The sequence below is a fragment of the Homo sapiens genome, chromosome 1 (assembly GCF_000001405.40).
Source record: "Homo sapiens chromosome 1, GRCh38.p14 Primary Assembly".
NCBI lineage: Eukaryota > Metazoa > Chordata > Mammalia > Primates > Hominidae > Homo > Homo sapiens.
In genome coordinates this window covers 66,040,200-66,058,263 of record NC_000001.11, presented here as the reverse complement: position 1 = coordinate 66,058,263, position 18,064 = coordinate 66,040,200, and the positions used below count along the sequence as shown (strand labels likewise).

Below are 18,064 nucleotides of genomic sequence, written 5' to 3'. Positions count from 1 at the left end.
AGGAGTGGAGCTGCCCAATACCATGGGAACCCACCTCTTCCATCAGCATGACCTGGATGTGAGACATGAAGTCAAAGGAGATCATTTGGGAGCTTTAAGATTTGACTCCCCTGCTGGATTTCAGACTTACATGGGGCCTGTAGCCCCTCTGTTTTGGCCAATTTCTCCCATTATGAATGGGTGTATTTTCCCAATAGCTGTACCCCCATTGTATCTAGGAAGTAACTAGCTTGCTTTTGATTTTACAGGCTTATAGGCGAAAGGAACTTGCCTTGTCTCAGATGAGACTTTGTGAACTGTGGACTTCTGAGTTAATGCTGAAATGGGTTGACTTTGGGGGACCGTTGGGAAGGGATGATTGATTTTGAAATGTGAAGACATGAGATTTGGGAAGGGCCAGGGGCAGAATGATATGGTTTGGTTTTGTGTCCCCACCCAAATTTCATCTTATAGCTCCCATAATTCCCACATGTTGTAGGAGGGACCCGGTGGGAAATAACTGAATCATGGGAGCAGGTCTCTCCCTTGCTGTTCTGGTGACAGTTAATAAGTTTCACAAGATCTGATGGTTTTAAAAATGGGAGTTTCCCTGCACAAGGTCTCTCTTTGCCTGCTGCCATCCATGTAAGACGTGACTTGCTCCTCCTTGCCTTTCACCTTCCCCCAGTGATTGTGAAGCCTCCCAGCCATGTGGAACTGTAAGTCCAATAAACCTCTTTCTTTTGTAATTGCCCAGTCTCATGTATGTCTTTATCAGCAGCATGAAAATGAACGAATATAATATGTATTAGCCTCAAAAAGGCTTCCATTCTTTAAAAATTGTTTATGTCTTCATACTGTTGGAACAGTGCTAACTGCAAACCAAGAAAGAAAGAGGCCCTTATCCAAGGACTCTTTTAGTACAATACTCTTTTAGTATTTCCTCCTTTTTAGCACAATCTAAAAATGAGAAAAAATGGCAGAACTAGTAATGACTAATGTTGCAATAATGTAGTAAGAGTGGGAAACATGTCTATTATTATTTACAGTATATCCAGCACTTAGCACTTGGTGTATACTAAGTGCTCAGTAAATATCCTTTGAAATAAGGAAAGAGTTCCCTCTATGCAAGTTCATGGTGCACCAAACTGGGGACTCCTATAAATAAATTTGTCTTGGGTAGGGGATGATAATTTAAGCTTATATTACTACAGATTATGCTAGAGATGAATATACATACATTCAAAACAACGAAAATATATTTATTTCCTTCAATACAATCTGAAATGTACACATGTATTAGTTTTTATTGCTGCTGTCATAAATTACTGCAAAGTTAGTGACTTAAACAACACAAATGTATTCTCTTACATTTATGGAGGTCAGAAATATGACACAGGTTTCACTGGGTAAAAGTCAAGGTATCAGCAGGGATATGTTCCTTTCTGGAGACCCTAAGGGAGAATCTACTTCCTTACCTTTTCCAGCTTCCAAACATGACCTGCATTTCTTGACTCATGATCACATTCCTCCATCATCAAAGCCATCAATATTGTATCTCTCTGATGATTCTTCTGTAGTCACCTCTCTTTAACCACAGCCAGGAAAGGCATAAAAGGTCTTCCACTTTTAAAGATTCATGTGATTAGACTGATCACAATCATATAACCCATCTCAAGCTCCATATCTTTAATCACATCCACAAAGTTTCTTCCCAAGTAAGGATATAGATAGATAGATAGATAGATAGATGATAGATAGATAGATAGATAGATAGATAGATAGATAGATAGATAGATGATAGATAGATAGATAGATATAAAATTTCCTTGCTTTCTCCATGTCTAGATGCTGCCTTCATTCTTTGGCTCCTGGCCACCTTCCTCCACCTTCAAAGCAATTAGCATTGCATGTCTCTGACCATTCTTCCACAGTCATATGCCCTTCTGACCACAGCCAGGAAAGGCAATTTTACACACATCTCTCTCTCGTTGCCTTTCTCTCCCTCCAACCCCCATAACTTCTGTAATAGAGAAAAGGTCTGAAAGAAAATAAATTGCATGCAAATAACAATTGAAATTAAAATGAAACATTTCATCTATTTTTCCCAGCTATTTCTTATTGCCTCCAGAGGCCCCATTAGCCTGAAAAGCACTGTTCAATAAGTAAATTTAAAAAAAGTTAGTAGCATAAATAAAGTAAGCATCACCTACATACCTGACTATAAGATATATTCAAATAATGAAGTTAAATCAATTATGGGAAAAATATAAATTTTGTTCTAGGGAAGTGTAGCCAGAAAATATTACACATATTGGTATTTACCAAAAGTGGTAGTTCTGTTGAAATATGAATGTGAACAATATTGAACATTTCTGATAGCTACCTTTTTGTAGACAAAACAAGTAATCACAAACCCTCTGTCTACCTCAATCTAACATCTAACATATCAACATGCTTAAATGAAAAATTTTTTCAGAGTGTGCTATATTTATATCTCAAAATGTTATCTACTGTTAACATTAATATTTTTAATGCATCATTTTTGATGAAAAAGTATGCTTTTAAATTAAAATACCTGGCATTCTTAAACATTCAGTACTGAAGCACTGGAGAAAAGCATCTACTTAAATCTCAATCCAGACAAAGAAGGAGTTGCTATAGAAGGAAAGAGTGGGATGAGTTTAAAAATAATTTCTTATTCCTGACCTACAATACTAACCACAGTCATCCATTCTCATGTACTTGTTATCTCATCAGAGTATTGAAAGAAGTAGAAAATCAATTGCTTTCATCCATGAACAGAATAACAACTTTTTAGGTAAGACTAATAATAGCTACTATGTGCCAGGCACTAAACTAGCTATTTTATTAATCCTTTATCTATTTTTATTCTTACAACAACTCTACATGGTAAGTTTGGCTAGCCAAAAGATAATCGAGGCTCAAGGAAGTTAAATAAATGCCAGTCAAAAGTAACTCACCTGATAAGCGTTACGCAAACATGCTCTTTACAATGCAAAGCCAACCTCCAATACAATTAAGCACCATGTGCCTCCACAATTTAAGAACACTGCCTTCAAAGACAGAGTCTAGAAATTGCATAAGTCAGCTAGTAGTTCACTCATGATTAAGTTCATGAAATAAAAAAGAAAGACTAATTTAATATTCCTTAGTTCCTAGATGTAATCTTCCTTCAAATCTAAATCAGTAAAATCAAGACTTTGATATTACTGATGCTCATCTAAATCGCATTTGCACTCTTTAAAACGCAGTTTGACTAATATCACCTCTATAAAGGTGTCCATGACAACACTAGTTTACACTGATTTCTCCCTTCTCTCCAATCTGAAGGCAGTTTTATCGGCACAATATTATAGGAAGATGTCATGAAACTGAAGAGATGTGAGGAGTTGGGATTAGGGAAACAATAACACTTTGAGAAGGAAGGGCCTATAGATAAGGAGGAACCATGACAGAAGAGGAAACTGGCAGGTATCTGTGGATACTGAATGTATACATCATATATTTCAGACCCATCAGGGAAAGTGAAGTTGAAGTAGGGTACACATGAGAAAGATATCATTCAGGAGTGAACTATGGGAAAGGGAAGAATAAAATATCAATCTGTACTACAAGTCTGTAGTAACTTATGGAAAATAGGGAATAGGCTTTTGGGAGAAACTGAAGTGTAAGAAAAATTAAACAGCCAATTGTCAAATGAGACGAAGCCAATTAGGAATGAAAGCATGAGATCTACTCTCCTAACAACTTTTAAAGAGCACAAGATATAGGCACTATGTTGAACAGATATCTAGAACTTACTAAAAGGTGGGGGCATGAGAAAACTTTTGGAGCTGATAAATATGTTTTTTAACTTGGTTATAGTGACTGTTACATGGGTGTATGGATATGTCCAAATTGTATACCTAAAATATGTGCTTTTTTGCTATCAATTATCCCCCCAATAAAGCTGTTTACAAAAGAATCATGACAAATATCCGAATGCATGTTCCTGTCTAACTAAATGTATAAGGCTTTGGTATATGATTACCTATCCAAACATATTACACGTTAGTAATCTATGATCACTTTTTGTGATATATTTGTATTAAAATACAAATCACGGCAACATGATGGAAATATAAAAGCACAAGCTTCAGAGTCACTCAATGAGGGTTCAAACCCTGGATCCACCGCCTTCTGCATGAGAAACAGAAGAGCTAGGTGCTTAAAAGTGTAGGTCCTTGAGCACACAACCTGGATTTAGGCCAACCAACTGTTCCACTTACCTGAGACTGTTATGGTGTGAGCACTGAAAATCCTGTGTCCTGGGAAACTCCTCAGTCTTGAGCAAACCAGGATAGTTGGTCATCCTACTTAGGCTGCATCCCATTCCTTTTATTATTATTATTATTTTTAATTGAGATGGAGTTTCTTTCTTGTCACCCAGGCTGGAGTGCAGTGGCACGATCTCAGCTCACTGTTACTTCTGCCTCCTGGGTTCAAGCAATTCTCCTGCCTCAGCCTCCCAAGTAGCTGGGATTACAGGCACCCGCCACCACCCCCGGCCAATTTTTTGTATTTTAGTGGAGATGGGGTTTCACCATGTTGGTCAGGCTGATCTCAAACTCCTAACCTCAGGTGATCCTGCCCGCCTCAGCCTCCCAAAGTGCTGGGATTACAGGAGTAAGCCACTGCGCCCAGCCCCCATTCCTAACATTCACCCACTGTGTGACCTTGGCCAGGTTACTCTATCTCTCTGTGTTTCATTGTACTCAACTGTAAAATGCCATTGATAATAATGGTACCAACTTCAGCTGGGTTGTTCAAAGAAATAGTTAATACACATAAAGCTCCTAGAACATGTCTGGGACATGATAAACAGAAAATGTAAGCCAGTGGTTATCAGAACTTAAACTTGCAGATTCTTAGATTTCTTATTGGAAAATGGAGAAGATAATATTTACTTCATAGATTGAGGCTTAAATTAAGTGAGATTATTACATAACTTTCTTTTCTAATGTCTGAATATAAGAACATGTATAATTTATTCAACAAACATTTAATACACATACGTAAAAGTATTTTGTACACGCTAATGAGTTATAAAATATTATTAAGGCATTTCAGGAAAGATAAATGGATCTCAACTACTTAAATACCTGCTTAGATATGAGATAACTGCAGAATATATTCAGGCCATATACTGTAGAACATGTTTAGCAGTAAATACACTGTCTCCCACATAGAAAGACTAAAATGGGCTCGGAAATAATACATTTTTCTACACTATAAAACTCCTAATGACACTTTATTACATCTAATGCCTAAGAAATATTGAATACTTTTTTTGTGCTCATGGGAGGAAGGTACAAATGTGTAGTCTCGAATGTAAAATGAAGAAGCTGCCCATCAGCCTGCCTTCTGGATTCTCAGAGGAAACCTGGGTAACATTCACTTCATCTGGGAAAACCGCTAGTGTCATGAGGCTCAGAAAACACCCTCTAATTTGATAAATTTTAAGCACAGTTACAAGTTGACAGAATTACAGGAGTTATAGGTGCTCTCTCTATACCACCCTACACACATCACACTCCTAATCATTTCTCGGAAAGGATTTCACAGTTCTGGGAAACAGCTGTGGCTTACGAACATGAGGAAGCAAATTAGGTTAAAGAAACAGAAGAGGAAAGAAAAGAGAGAAGAAAGGCAAAAAAAAAAAAAAACTCGGTCCCTGAACACAGAAAGCTAAAGCAGTAGTAGGACTTCTTGTGTTCTAAGCCCTGGCATGGCCTTGAAAGAGTCCTCTTAGCCCTCTAGGCTCCAGCTTTGTTATCTGTACAAGTGGGTTTGATGCGATCTCTAGGGTCTCCTGAAACCCTATCATTATAAATATTTTCTTAAAATTCCTTAGTCACTAAGATTCTGCATATAAAACATGAGCTAACAATTTTTGCAAGCATTTTTAGCTTTCTTTGTGAATTTTTAAAGGATAGTACAGGTAATCTGAAGCTATGCATACATGTGAAAACTGATTTTAAAAGTAAAACTTTACGGACATTTCAAATAGAAAATATTTATCCATATGATATTTTACTTGTAATAGTAAAGTATATGATGCCAGTTGTATTCTCTAGAAATCAGACTGTGAATTGAAGTTTAGCATGCAGGATGTTTATTAAGAACTGTCTTGTTGGACTCAACAACATGAAAGGGATGAGGAAGAAGCAGGACTGGCAGAAGAAAAGCTGAGCTTCAATGCAGGCCCCACCACCTTGGTAAACCCAACAGAACCTCAGAAGATGGCCATACCTTTATACCCCAACCTTCATCAGCTATGAAAGTAGGCTGCCCTAAGGAGTGAATAGTATGACTTTGGATAAAAAGGCAGGAGCTGGGAAGTGTTTCTTTTAAGAGGTATCTGGATGCTACATCACCTTGTCTACCACAATACATGAGTGATAATAATCTATAAGTAAACATTTCCAGAAAACATATCAAATGTTATAGAAAAACGTTATATCTTCTATTCTTGATATAAAATTCTGCTTGGCAATTTATCCAAATCAGCAAATAACCAAATAATATCAACCCTATTTGAGATGTTTTTGAAGGTCAAAAGTAGCATTTTAATAGCATCTATTCATTCACTTTGTAAACTGTCATCTAATTATATATTTACATATATATAATAAATGTTTTCTACCTCTGTTCACAGTCTTCAAACATGAACAAATTATTCTTTTTCAGCGAGAGGAATAAAGGAAAAGAAATCTTCTCTTTTCTCTTCATTCTGAAATACTAAAATGAATAATTTATATTCCCAGATTCCGTTCCCTAATCTTTCCCCCAAAATAGAAATGTTCACTCCATGGAGCAGGGTTTGAATTTGGTTCTCTCCTATACTGACCCAATAATCATGAGGTTGCTATTAGTTTCCCTATTTTAAGGTGAGGTCGAGTGACTTGTCACAGATTCTAATACTCATTATTCAAACACATTTTCTATCACAATCTTCAATACTTTCACTTATTTTGTTTTCTTTCAAATTTAATTTTTTTTAATTTTATTATTATTATACTTTAAGTTTTAGGGTACATGTGCACAACGTGCAGGTTTGTTACATATGTATACATGTGCCATAAGAGAGACTTCAGGATACAAAAAGTTGTTCCAAAGGCAAAAACATACTTATACTTTAGAAGAAAATTTAACTTTTAAAAACAGAAAAGTCATCATTTCTTTGTACCCACACAAGTGGTGATCCAGTTTTTTACATTTCCATTGGGAATTTTCTGTGTCTAGATTCCTCACTCTGCCTCAGGCTGTTCTTTTCTTAATTCAGTCCTTCCTGTGTAGTTTCTTTATTCTCATTTCATGGCACCTCTTCCTCCCATTGCTTTTCCCTTCCTCATTTTTCAGTCTGTCCTTTGGATGTCCATGACAGGGGCAGCATTTGTTTCTATAGTAACGATGATGCTCCTTCACGGATCTCCAATACCTCGATGTTCTAACACAGCCATTCAGGATACCCTGCCTTTCATCATTTTTAGTCAGACAGGAAAAACTGAAGGGATTCTTTTTAACAAAGGTGTATCTCAGAACAGAATCAACGTTACATGTTTTCTTGGCCCTGTTAAGTATGCTGTACATCTGGAGGCATTGCTTTTAAAGTAGAGCATGGCTTTGCAATACAAGATTAACATTCTTCCCAAAGTCTATACGGCATTGCGAATATCATACATTAGTAGGTAAATTTAAATGAAATACTTTATGTATGTAGGTGTGTGTGTGTGCATACATGTAAAATCACTAAATATATATGGAGAAATCAACACTGTCCATTATACTTTCTTAGAATTTATTAGGTTCTCACAAAGTTGAGCCAAGAGGCCACTGCTTTGTTTTCCAAATGTCCCAAATTCTATTTCTGCTAAATGATGTCACTAATGTCATGGTTACAACAATACTGCACAGAGCCTCCTTCCTGCCACTGGCCACCGATACAATAGATCATTTAAGCAGCTGAGTCATTAGTAAAAACAATAGATTTTTCTACTGATACTCAATTGAACATATATTTCCAATTGAACATAGAATTCATGGAAATAAATTTTAAAGTTTCCTCATATTATATTAGACAACAGTGTATATCCTGTATTCTTTAATTTGTTGAGGATATAATCTGTCTCCATAAATCCGTATGCTGAATCTCTGAATCAAAGAAACCTAGGTAAAAGGGACTTTTTGTTGCCTATGTCCCAAAACTACTGTCTTTTTGAATTATTCTTCTAAAAATAGTTTTAAATGTATTATTTATTTGTGTGGAGTTTTCACACTACTTTAATTCCTAGCAGTTGTGTGGGAAACGTAAATACATTTTTTTCATCTCTAAAGCAAAAGGTAACCCGGGATCCAATTCGTATTTATACAAAATTAAAGTGAAAGGCATTTTGAGGATGTACACGGTGGTTGAAATGCTGAAATTAAGTTCTTGGCATTACTGGTATCCAACCCCACCTTGCTGCCTTCCACATTTATACATTCAGGAAGCCCCATACCACACTGCAAATGGGCATATCACTTCATTTCCTGCTCTATTCTCTTGAAGGATTATTTAGGAAATCCATGCATATGTGGCCCAGTTTTAGAAAATATCATGTCAGCATACTAATTTTAATACAAATAAGTTACATGTTAATTACATGAGTTTTCATGTTTTTAAATATTAAACGTAGGTCTAGTTGAAAAACCTCCAGAAATAGCCAGGTCTCTTACTTAGATACTCTCTTCAGCACCCTCTATTATTTGGTGAGGCATCCTAAGAAGGTATTTTTGTTACTCAAACCATACTACTCCTGTTTTAAAGCCCATCAGCTGGCAATACTAACACAGACACCACACTCCCACTCTTTTCCCTCTGCCAACAACCAGGCATGGGAAATGTATGAAATCCATGAGGGTAACTGACCTGACAGTTGTAACATTCAGAGATTGTAGCTTTTCCATTCACAATATCTGAAATGAATTTTAGATGATGCTATTTAAAGCAGCACCTCAATTTTACATGTGAAGAAACTGAGGCAAAGAGTAGTGACTTTGTCATGATTAGGATTCAGGTTCACAATAGAATTTAGAGTAGAGCCTAATCTCCTTATTCTACACTTACGATATTTCCACTCTCAGAATAACAATTAATAAATATTTAAAAGTTTACTCAAATATAAGATATGGAGATGTGCTAGATGTAAAAGCACCAAGTTCCGGGGGCCAATGCATTACTGGATAAATCATAGTAGATAGATTGACTAAAGACGGAGAGCTAATTCATTAAGCATTTCTTCCCATCTCCCCAACAATGTAACTTAAAAATGGAGGTGTCTACACTTACCTCTTCACTTCATCCATCACTCACTTACTGATATGTTAAGAGTGGACTTCTTGTGTGTCCTCTGACCTATCAGTGAAAAGGAAGTGATCTCAAGTAGCCTCCCAAACAAAAATATTTAGATATTTTCAAAGATATTATCAGTTATAAAACATCCGAGAATGAAGAGTAATAGGCTGTGAATCAGAAGACTCTATTCCAGCATCTCCACTGCTCCTTGACTATGTGCCCTTGAGAAAGTCAACTCTACTTGGCCCCAGCATCCACAACTATAAAATAAAGGAGCTAGATTAGACAATTACAAAATGCCCACAAGTTCCGTGGTTTATTTCTCCTAGACTACTTTCTTTGTAGTGTAAATCATGTTTAGCATGAAAGTTACACCTTCCAGATAATTATTTTAAAGCATATTGAATGCCATATTTACATTGCTCTATTCTCCCAAATCAAATAATATCTGGTCAAGATTTTTCACCAGCATCCCCAAGTCATAAAAGGATATGATCGTGGGAGCCTGTTTTATTGACTGCAAGAAAAGATTATTCATTATTATGTAGGAGGACAGTGGAGTTGATTGCTCCTTAGCTGTCAGGAAATGGCTCATCTATAAGACTTGGAGTATGGGGGTGGTGCAAAAGGAAAAGTTTACTCATAAATACAAGTGATGCCTGGATAATGGAAGTTTAGTGATCAAAAGCCAAAGGAAGTGATAATGGCAGTCACCCAAACATTGCATTCAGAGGCTAGTACAGGAGGTACAGCAATGAGAGAACCGTGAGCTTTCTGCTTAAGTGAAGTGACAAGTTACTGTGAGGCAACACATACAAGAGGATACTGGAAGCAAGTCTGAAAATAGCAATGGTCTGCCAAGGACAAACTGTAGACGCCATCCAAAGAAAGAACGTGTATGCATGCTCTGTGGAAATGATTCGTCTGTCACTTAACAGCCATTAGCTCTTCATACCCACAGATGGCCATCACCAGTATTAACAAGACACAAGTGCTAAGTAAACAAGCAACACTTCCCTTGTCAGGACAGGACAGCTAATGTTGGGGTGAAATTTATTTAATTGCATTTATGAACTGCTTCTTCAAAGGGTCTGAACTTATACCACAAAAGTAGGAAAGGCCAAAGTCTTAGCACAGTCAATTATGGTCATGTTCAGTGAAAGCTCACGGTAACAGATAGAAAGGATATTGCCCCATCATCTTCAGAGACCATCCATATAGCCTTGGAGTTATGAGTCTAAAGCATGAAAAACTATATGGAACTTTCTGCCACCTCTAAAATATTTAATTCAGCTCTACACTTACTGGGCATAACAAATTATCTCAGAACATCCATATGGAACACACTGAGCAACACTGGGCTGGAGCTCAGCATACCTGGTATAGTAGCTAGGAATAAAGTCTGGAGATCTGACTGACTCAGTTGTACAGGGACTTCTAGGCTAGTCTAAGGAAAATTATGTTTCCTTCTCTTTGGATAACAACAATAACAGCCACCTTAGAAGCCAGGCATTGCTTCTAAGATATTTTCATATATTAACACCTATAATCCACTCAATAACCCAGTAAGGTAGGTGTCATTTTATCCCTATTTAACAGATGAAGAAACTGAGGCAAATAAAGGTTAAGTAGAATATAACCAGTAAGCAGCCTGGAGTCCAACTAAATCAGTCAAACTCCATGGTTCCTGCATTAATCCCTATGCTGGGCTGTCTCTCAAAGGAAGAACAGAAAGCTTAAAAGATGGCATGTTTCACCAGTCTTGCCACATTTCTCATAGGAATCACTGATTGTCTTAAAAAATATCAAGGAAATCACAGGAATTAATACTCTAAAGTTAATATTTGCTATTCTTTAAATAAAACAATTTATAAAATCCTATTTATTCTTAGTTTTGCTATCTTGTTTCTGTGCATAGACATCAAATAGATAAAAATCTAATTAAAGTTCAGAAAAGTTTATCTGCATTGATTCATTATAGATTTCAAGATTTTGGTTCTTAAAGAGTATGCTAGAGCCCATTGTATCTGAATATTGGAGGATATTCTATTCAGGAAGGCACTAAAAGAGTGAATAGCAGAGGGGGATAATATTCCTAAGTGAAGCAATGTTACACATTTCTTTCCTCATTGAGTAGCCTCCCTCACTCCTTACTGTTAATGATTACAGTCATTATTCCACTCTTATGGCCAAAAACATGTAATTCCCGATAATTCAGAGTCTTCTTGGTTTAAAATGGAAAATATTTTACGCAGATAAGAAATAACAAGTGCTGACTTTCGCCAGACATGATTGCTTAATTTACCACCAGGAACAAAGGTTCTGGGATGTATCTTGCTCACTCCTGATTCTCTTTGAATTCTGATTTCATCTCTATCATATTTCTTCACGTTGGGAGATATTAGAATGAGTACAGATAGTTTTGGAATATGGCTAAAGGAAAGTTGAACTGAAGAAATACTGAGTTTGTGCTTATATAAAATACATTTCTTTTTCTCAATTTTGTGAGGTTTGTGGCTTGTCATTTTATTAAAGTGTGTAACCTTGTGATTTATTCTCTCATTTTAAATAAATATTTACTTTCATACCTGCTTTTGAATTAATAATTTTACTTTATTTTCAGGCCCCACAAAATCTGCATCTGTTCCTGCTGCTCAAGGTAAACATTTAGAACTCTCCATATCACGTACATTTAATAAATATTTCTCTAAATTTTCTCTCCTCCATCTCTATCGCTATGGACCCAATCTAAAGCTTCATCCTATCCAGCTCAGATGACAACAATCACTTCCTAACTGGTTTTCCTGCCTCCACTGTTGCCCCTTTCAAATATCTCTTCTGCACTGTTGCTACAGAATAATTCATCTAAAATAAACACACTCCAAAAGCAGCCCATCATGTGTAAAATCAAGTCTGATTCCCTAGCATGGTCTCATTTGTGGTATGGTTCTCACCCTTACAGCCTGCCCTCCTTCCACTCCCCATCTCTCTCATGTCTATGCTCAGCCTTATTTAACTATACATGGTTCCTAGAACACAGCATTTATTTGCACATCTCTCAGCCCACTGCCTATCACGTTCATTCCCATATTCTTAGTCAGACTCTTAATCATGGTGGGAGATTTGCTTTTCAAGAACATCTTTTCTTTGATTGAATCTCGTCTATATCATTTCACAATCATCTATATATATATTACATCTTTATGTCCCTGCCCCCCACTTTAACATGGGCATCTTGGGGGATGAGCATGCGTCTTAGCCATCTTTGTGGTGAAGAACCTGAGTATCTTCCATATAATAGACACTTCATCAATGCTTCATGAATTTCCTGCTACATTCTTGAATAAAATTAGGAAGTACAAGCCAGGAAAGTATTTTTGCAGGAGAAATTTCTGATAAGACTCAGTTCAGAAAGACATGCTAGAAAGAGATATTTGAGGAAACTTAGGGACTTTGATTATATTTCTAACTTTGAGTTAAGGGTGCCTTCTCTTTGGGAATCAGCATTAGCTCAGGGGAGCCAGAGGAGTTAGATTAGACTTCAAAACAGAAGAAACAGACATTTGGTGACTAAGTGCTACTTTGAGATTCTAAAATGAAGGGAGTACCCACAAAAAATTGAAAAGAAAAATTGAAAAAAATAATAATAAAATGAAGGGAAAGAGTCAAAGGAGAATGCTTACTTCAGCAGCACATATACTAAGAAAAAGATAGGGGTCAAAGGAGAAAAAGGTCAGTTTGTAAACAGTCATAAGTCCTGGTAAGCTCCACCTCGTGACAAAGATCATGCATTGAGCAGGAGTTTGACCTTCATCATGCAGTTGGAATGAGAATGCAGAGGATCAGATACATATAGTGGCTGGTTATTTTATTCCAGTTATAGAAGATTTAAAAATATGTCATTATTACAATAAATGGGTAATTTTTGTTTCTGTTTGTTAAATCTAGGACCAGTTGTTACTCAAGTTTATATTTTGTAAAAATTGTATCAATGGCAGTTAACAGAGTAACTCAGTAGCTGATGTTTATAATAATGATCTTGGATTCTAGGAAAGGTAAAATTTTACTCATAAAATGATCACATATGGCATGGAAATGTGGATTTTAAAGGGAGATTCTTATTCAAATTTCTAAAAATAAATTCTTTTTCTCACAGAGTTAACATTCAGTCTTAATTATTTGGAAAATATTATTCACATCTTATGAAGCACAAAAGAAATATAATACAAACTTGCTGGACATCTGAGTTTTAATTACACTAATTTTCTCAAATTTCTGTGCTCGTCGTGAGTCCAGAAATTTTTCTCTAATTAAAGATATAGCCAATGTTTTAAACATTTACTTAAAAAATATATATCGCTTGTGATCCCTCTGCTAAAGCAATTCAAACAAGCTGAGTTCTAAATCACTGGATAGAAACACTGCACAATCATCAATCATTCATTACTTTTCTCTTCTAAAACATATGTCTTTTCATTCGGCCACACAAATTCAATCATGTAGAAACTTTCTCAGAGAAGTAATCAATTTTAGGCATGTAAAGATTTTTACAATATTTTTTATGAAACTATCAATATTTTAAGAATGGTTCAACCCACTCTTGGCATTTGTAAATTCATATACCTAAAAGAAATATTATAAACACCTCAAAATAGAAAGCAGTATGTTTAAAACAGGTAGAAACACACCTAGGATTCGATCCTAAATTCACCCCTTTTCAGTCCTTTAGAAACACATTCCGTCTCTCTGTCAGTTTCTTCAGAAGCAAAAATTAGGTTGAAATAATTCCTACCCACAGAAGTGATAAAAAATTAGATGACAAAGCACATATAATACATTTAGTATAATACATTTAGTATAATACTTGACAGACCTTCATTGATTCTCAATGTCCTCCCATAACCAAGTGAGACATAAATTTTTTGTTTGTTTTAGTTTCAAAATTGCATCTTTAGTCCTTACCAATCATGGTTCCTAGTTGTCTGTAATTTACAGTGTTCAGCCTAATATTCTCATTTGCCTCTAGACTATTTCAAAAGAAAAACAAAATTTTTTCACCATCCATGATTTACTAGAGAACACAATCCTGTTGCCTGTTTTGTGTTGGTTCTCTCTGGACCCTTTGCTGACTGTTAGGTCAAACAGTTCCAAGTGTTTGTGCACTTTAAAAAGGAGATTAAACTGGATTTCCTCCTCTCACTGCCATTAGAAATTAGTTTGCATAAGTTTGACTTTCATGGTTTCGTTGGTCTTTGGACAGAATTCCAGATTTTTAGGAAAAATAAAAGATCTCCAGGGTCCTAGGCAATGTACCAGAAACCCCCGAAAGAGCAGCTGCTCTCAGGTGGTACAATAAGAGGGTTTGGTTTCTATGTTCCCCTTAACTTTCCATATGGAAGTTATATAAGTTGAAACCACTAAGCCAGTTCAATGAAACCCAAACTGCTGAGTTCTGCACTGCTTTAAAAGAGGACTTCTGTTTCCTAACCAGCATGAGCTTGGGAAATTTTCCATTTACTTGGAGAGCTGTCATGTAAGCTGCTCAACCAGTTTTGCTCAAAGATTCAACACAGATTGACTGAAATAGTGAAGCAAATCCAATTAGTTAACTTCTTTATTTCACTTTTAAAAAAAATTTATAACTGGTCAAAAATTCAAAGAGGTATTCTGTAATTTCCTTTCCTCCTTCTAAGGGAAGTAGCTATTGTTAAAAGGCTCAAACTTACTCATCTTTTTATTCCAAAAGCACTCAGTAGGCACTATAACACACAGTAGGCACATGGATCCATCTGTCCCCTTTTTCCTTAATGAGACCTCCCTAAAGCTGGATTCATAGCCTTAAACTCACACATCACATTAGACTTTTTATAATCCTAGGTTTATGAAAAGAACACATGAATTTCATACGGTAAGAAACTACTTAACATAATAGACTGCACTGCAAAGAACTACACCATTGCTGAAGTACAGTTCCAATTTGATTCATGGCTTACTGGACTTATATTACTGTTGGTGTTGGAAATTTGAAAGATATTAGAGAGTCAAAAATTTTTAAGTAATACATCATATCTATTTTTACATTAACAACGATTATATCCCCTTTTGGCTAATACAAAATAGTCTTTTTAATAAAAATTTTTCTACCTTTAACAGATCAAAAACTTTTGAATGCCAGGGAAACGTCTTATTAAGTCCAGACTGCTTGACTCAACACTACCACAGCACACTGCCTTAAGGACAATATCCTTAAAAGAGAAATTATGCTTTATGGAGAGCTTGTTGTATGCTGGAAACTGGACCGAGCTCTGGCCATGCCTTATACTTTCTTTTAACTTATTGTTCTGCCCTTTGAATTCAATAAATAAATACCTCATTCAAAAATGTATTTCAGACACACGAACATAATTACTGCCATTATGTATGTTGTATAATGCAGTTGTACATAATTAATATTATACATTACATAAGCAATAAATCAGTATATTAAGATATATTGGACCTTGAATTTACTTTCTTCAGGTAAATAAACACTTCATTATTTTTTCATCCATCAATGTTGAAATATATTATAAATTAAGTCATAGTAATCTAGCTTCCTTTCTTTGGAAAACACATGAGGAAAACATGCTATCTTGGGGCTGAAAATGTTACTATCAAAACACTTTTCTTCCATTTAAATGTAAGTTATATCAATCACTTTAACAGCTATACAAATAATTTTAACATTTATTTGATTTGGGGGAAACAATCACCTGAAGTTGGTTGAAAAGGAATTAGTGAATGATTAATGACCTCCATTTATGGCATTTCCTTTGAAAATGTCTCATTAAATATATCTTTAAACTTTTGTAATAAAAATAGAATCAAGAAGTTTGCTTTCTTCAAGAAGAGTAACTCCTTTGAAAACATTTATTTAACAGTTACTTATTACATATCCATTATGCAAAGCACTTGCAATTCATATATTCATTTATTCTTTGAACCTACTGATGACCTACTAAGCCAGACATTATGTTGAATCATACATTAGGTATTCTGTGTGTGTGTGTGTGTGTATGTGTGTGTGTGTGTGTGTGTGTGTGTGTATTTCAAAGCAAAAGTAAAATAGATTCTTCCTCCTCAAGTTATTCATGACCCAGAAAGAGAGGAGCAGGAAAATGACATGCTATATGTTGTGATTAATGCTGTTACAAAGCACAGAAATCTAACTGGAGCACGTAGCAGAGACAGCTATCTTTGACTTCATCCTGCAACTGGCCATGCTTCCTATAGGACATTGAGCCCCGTCTTGAGAATTCAGTAGAGTGAGGCAAGTGAAGAAGTAAGTTAGAATGTTCCAACCACTGGGTAAAGTATAAGCAATGACAGTATGTTGTAGAAGTTGCAAATGGTTCTATATACCTGGGTCTTAAGTTGGAGAAAGAGAAAGAAGGAGAGAGGTCAAGAAGTTGTAATGACGAAAAACTTGAGGCTACTATAACGATTGTCAGCCTTGGATGACATGTGGAACAAACTAACATCAAGAGAGATTGTCAATACAAAGAAAGTGATCATTTGATTATTGAGCAAATGCTGGAACATTTTTGCACATCTTTGAGTACTGGATGGTAAAAAATCAATAGAAGCCAACTATGAATTGAGTCTTAATAAACAATATTTCACTAAGCAGGAAGTAAGCCAACAGTTTATCTTTGTGCCATTATACTTTCTAAGCTACTTTGCTTAGCATGTTTGCCCAATAAATAACTAGCTATCACCACCCTACTCCACCTCTATACAACACCTTAGTATGGGTTAGTTCTAGAAAAGGAATTATTCTGTTCAACAACAAATCATTTGAAGACACGCCCAGCTGCTATCCACTTCCAATCTTACCAATTCCAGAAAAGATGGGCTGAAACGTTTTTAAAAAGATGGGGCCACTAAGCTAAGATCAGTCCCATCAGATTTTAGGCAAAATTATCAAATGAGCAAGATACGATTTTGTCTTTCCTACTTCCTTTTAAAAGCCCTCCTCTCCCTCCCCTTTCTCCATACTTTAGGCTAAGGGTTGACTTTCCAAATGGCCTCTATACTATAACACTTGAAGTCTTCTCTAAACCTGATACCAAATTGCAAATACTTTCTTAACCTTTACTCTCCTTGATCAAAAACTTAATTTCCTGAGCAAAGTCACTTCTTTAAAACTTCATCCATGGCAATCTCAAACATTGTAGGATTACATTTTCATGCTGTTCTAGAAATGCAACTACTTTTATTCCCAGTCTTTCATCAAACCTCTTACCCATCTTTTATTTTCTAGCACCCTGTGCTTCAGCATATTCTTCTTATTATAAAGCAAACCCAAAACAAGCAACCTTTTTTTCCTAGGTGCCTAGCTTATAAAAGAGAAGTGTCACCTGTCATTTTAATCCCCTAATGGAGCAAAGAATTGTAACATCTAGCCTACTCCCACTGCACAGCCTTTCTCTTTGGGAGTGGGAAGAAACATGTATTTGTGCCTCCAGCCCCCTTCTTCCTGGTGAGTTAGGAAGGGAAGAGAATTGAGCATTACTGCAAGAGACTTTGAGGTGGTTCCTCTAAATAAAATAGGGTTATTGTTTCTTTATTCAACAGTAGTCAGGGCTTGAGTATCCTGAATGTGCTCTACTAACAGGTTTGTGCATTAGGAGTTGGGCATATACA

The 18,064-nt window shown here is 35.9% G+C and overlaps 1 protein-coding gene and 1 long non-coding RNA gene across 6 annotated transcripts in view; one reads left to right on the top strand and one right to left on the bottom strand.

Annotated features, from left to right (window-relative positions):
- The window catches only part of PDE4B (phosphodiesterase 4B), a 582,070-nt gene that overhangs the window by 316,316 nt on the left and 247,690 nt on the right, over nucleotides 1–18,064 (bottom strand). Inside the window, exon 2 of one of the 5 annotated variants that reach the window (NM_001297441.1) lies at nucleotides 17,556–17,565. The exons of the other annotated variants lie outside the window; for them this stretch is intronic. Within the exon in view, the coding sequence (NP_001284370.1) occupies nucleotides 17,556–17,565 (10 nt within the window). The remainder of the gene's footprint in view (nucleotides 1–17,555; nucleotides 17,566–18,064) is intronic. 5 annotated transcript variants of the gene reach the window in all.
- PDE4B-AS1 (PDE4B antisense RNA 1) lies at nucleotides 7,546–15,764 on the top strand. Its single transcript, NR_123718.1, has 3 exons — nucleotides 7,546–7,733; nucleotides 12,003–12,038; nucleotides 15,533–15,764. It is a non-coding gene; the product is annotated as a PDE4B antisense RNA 1 (long non-coding RNA).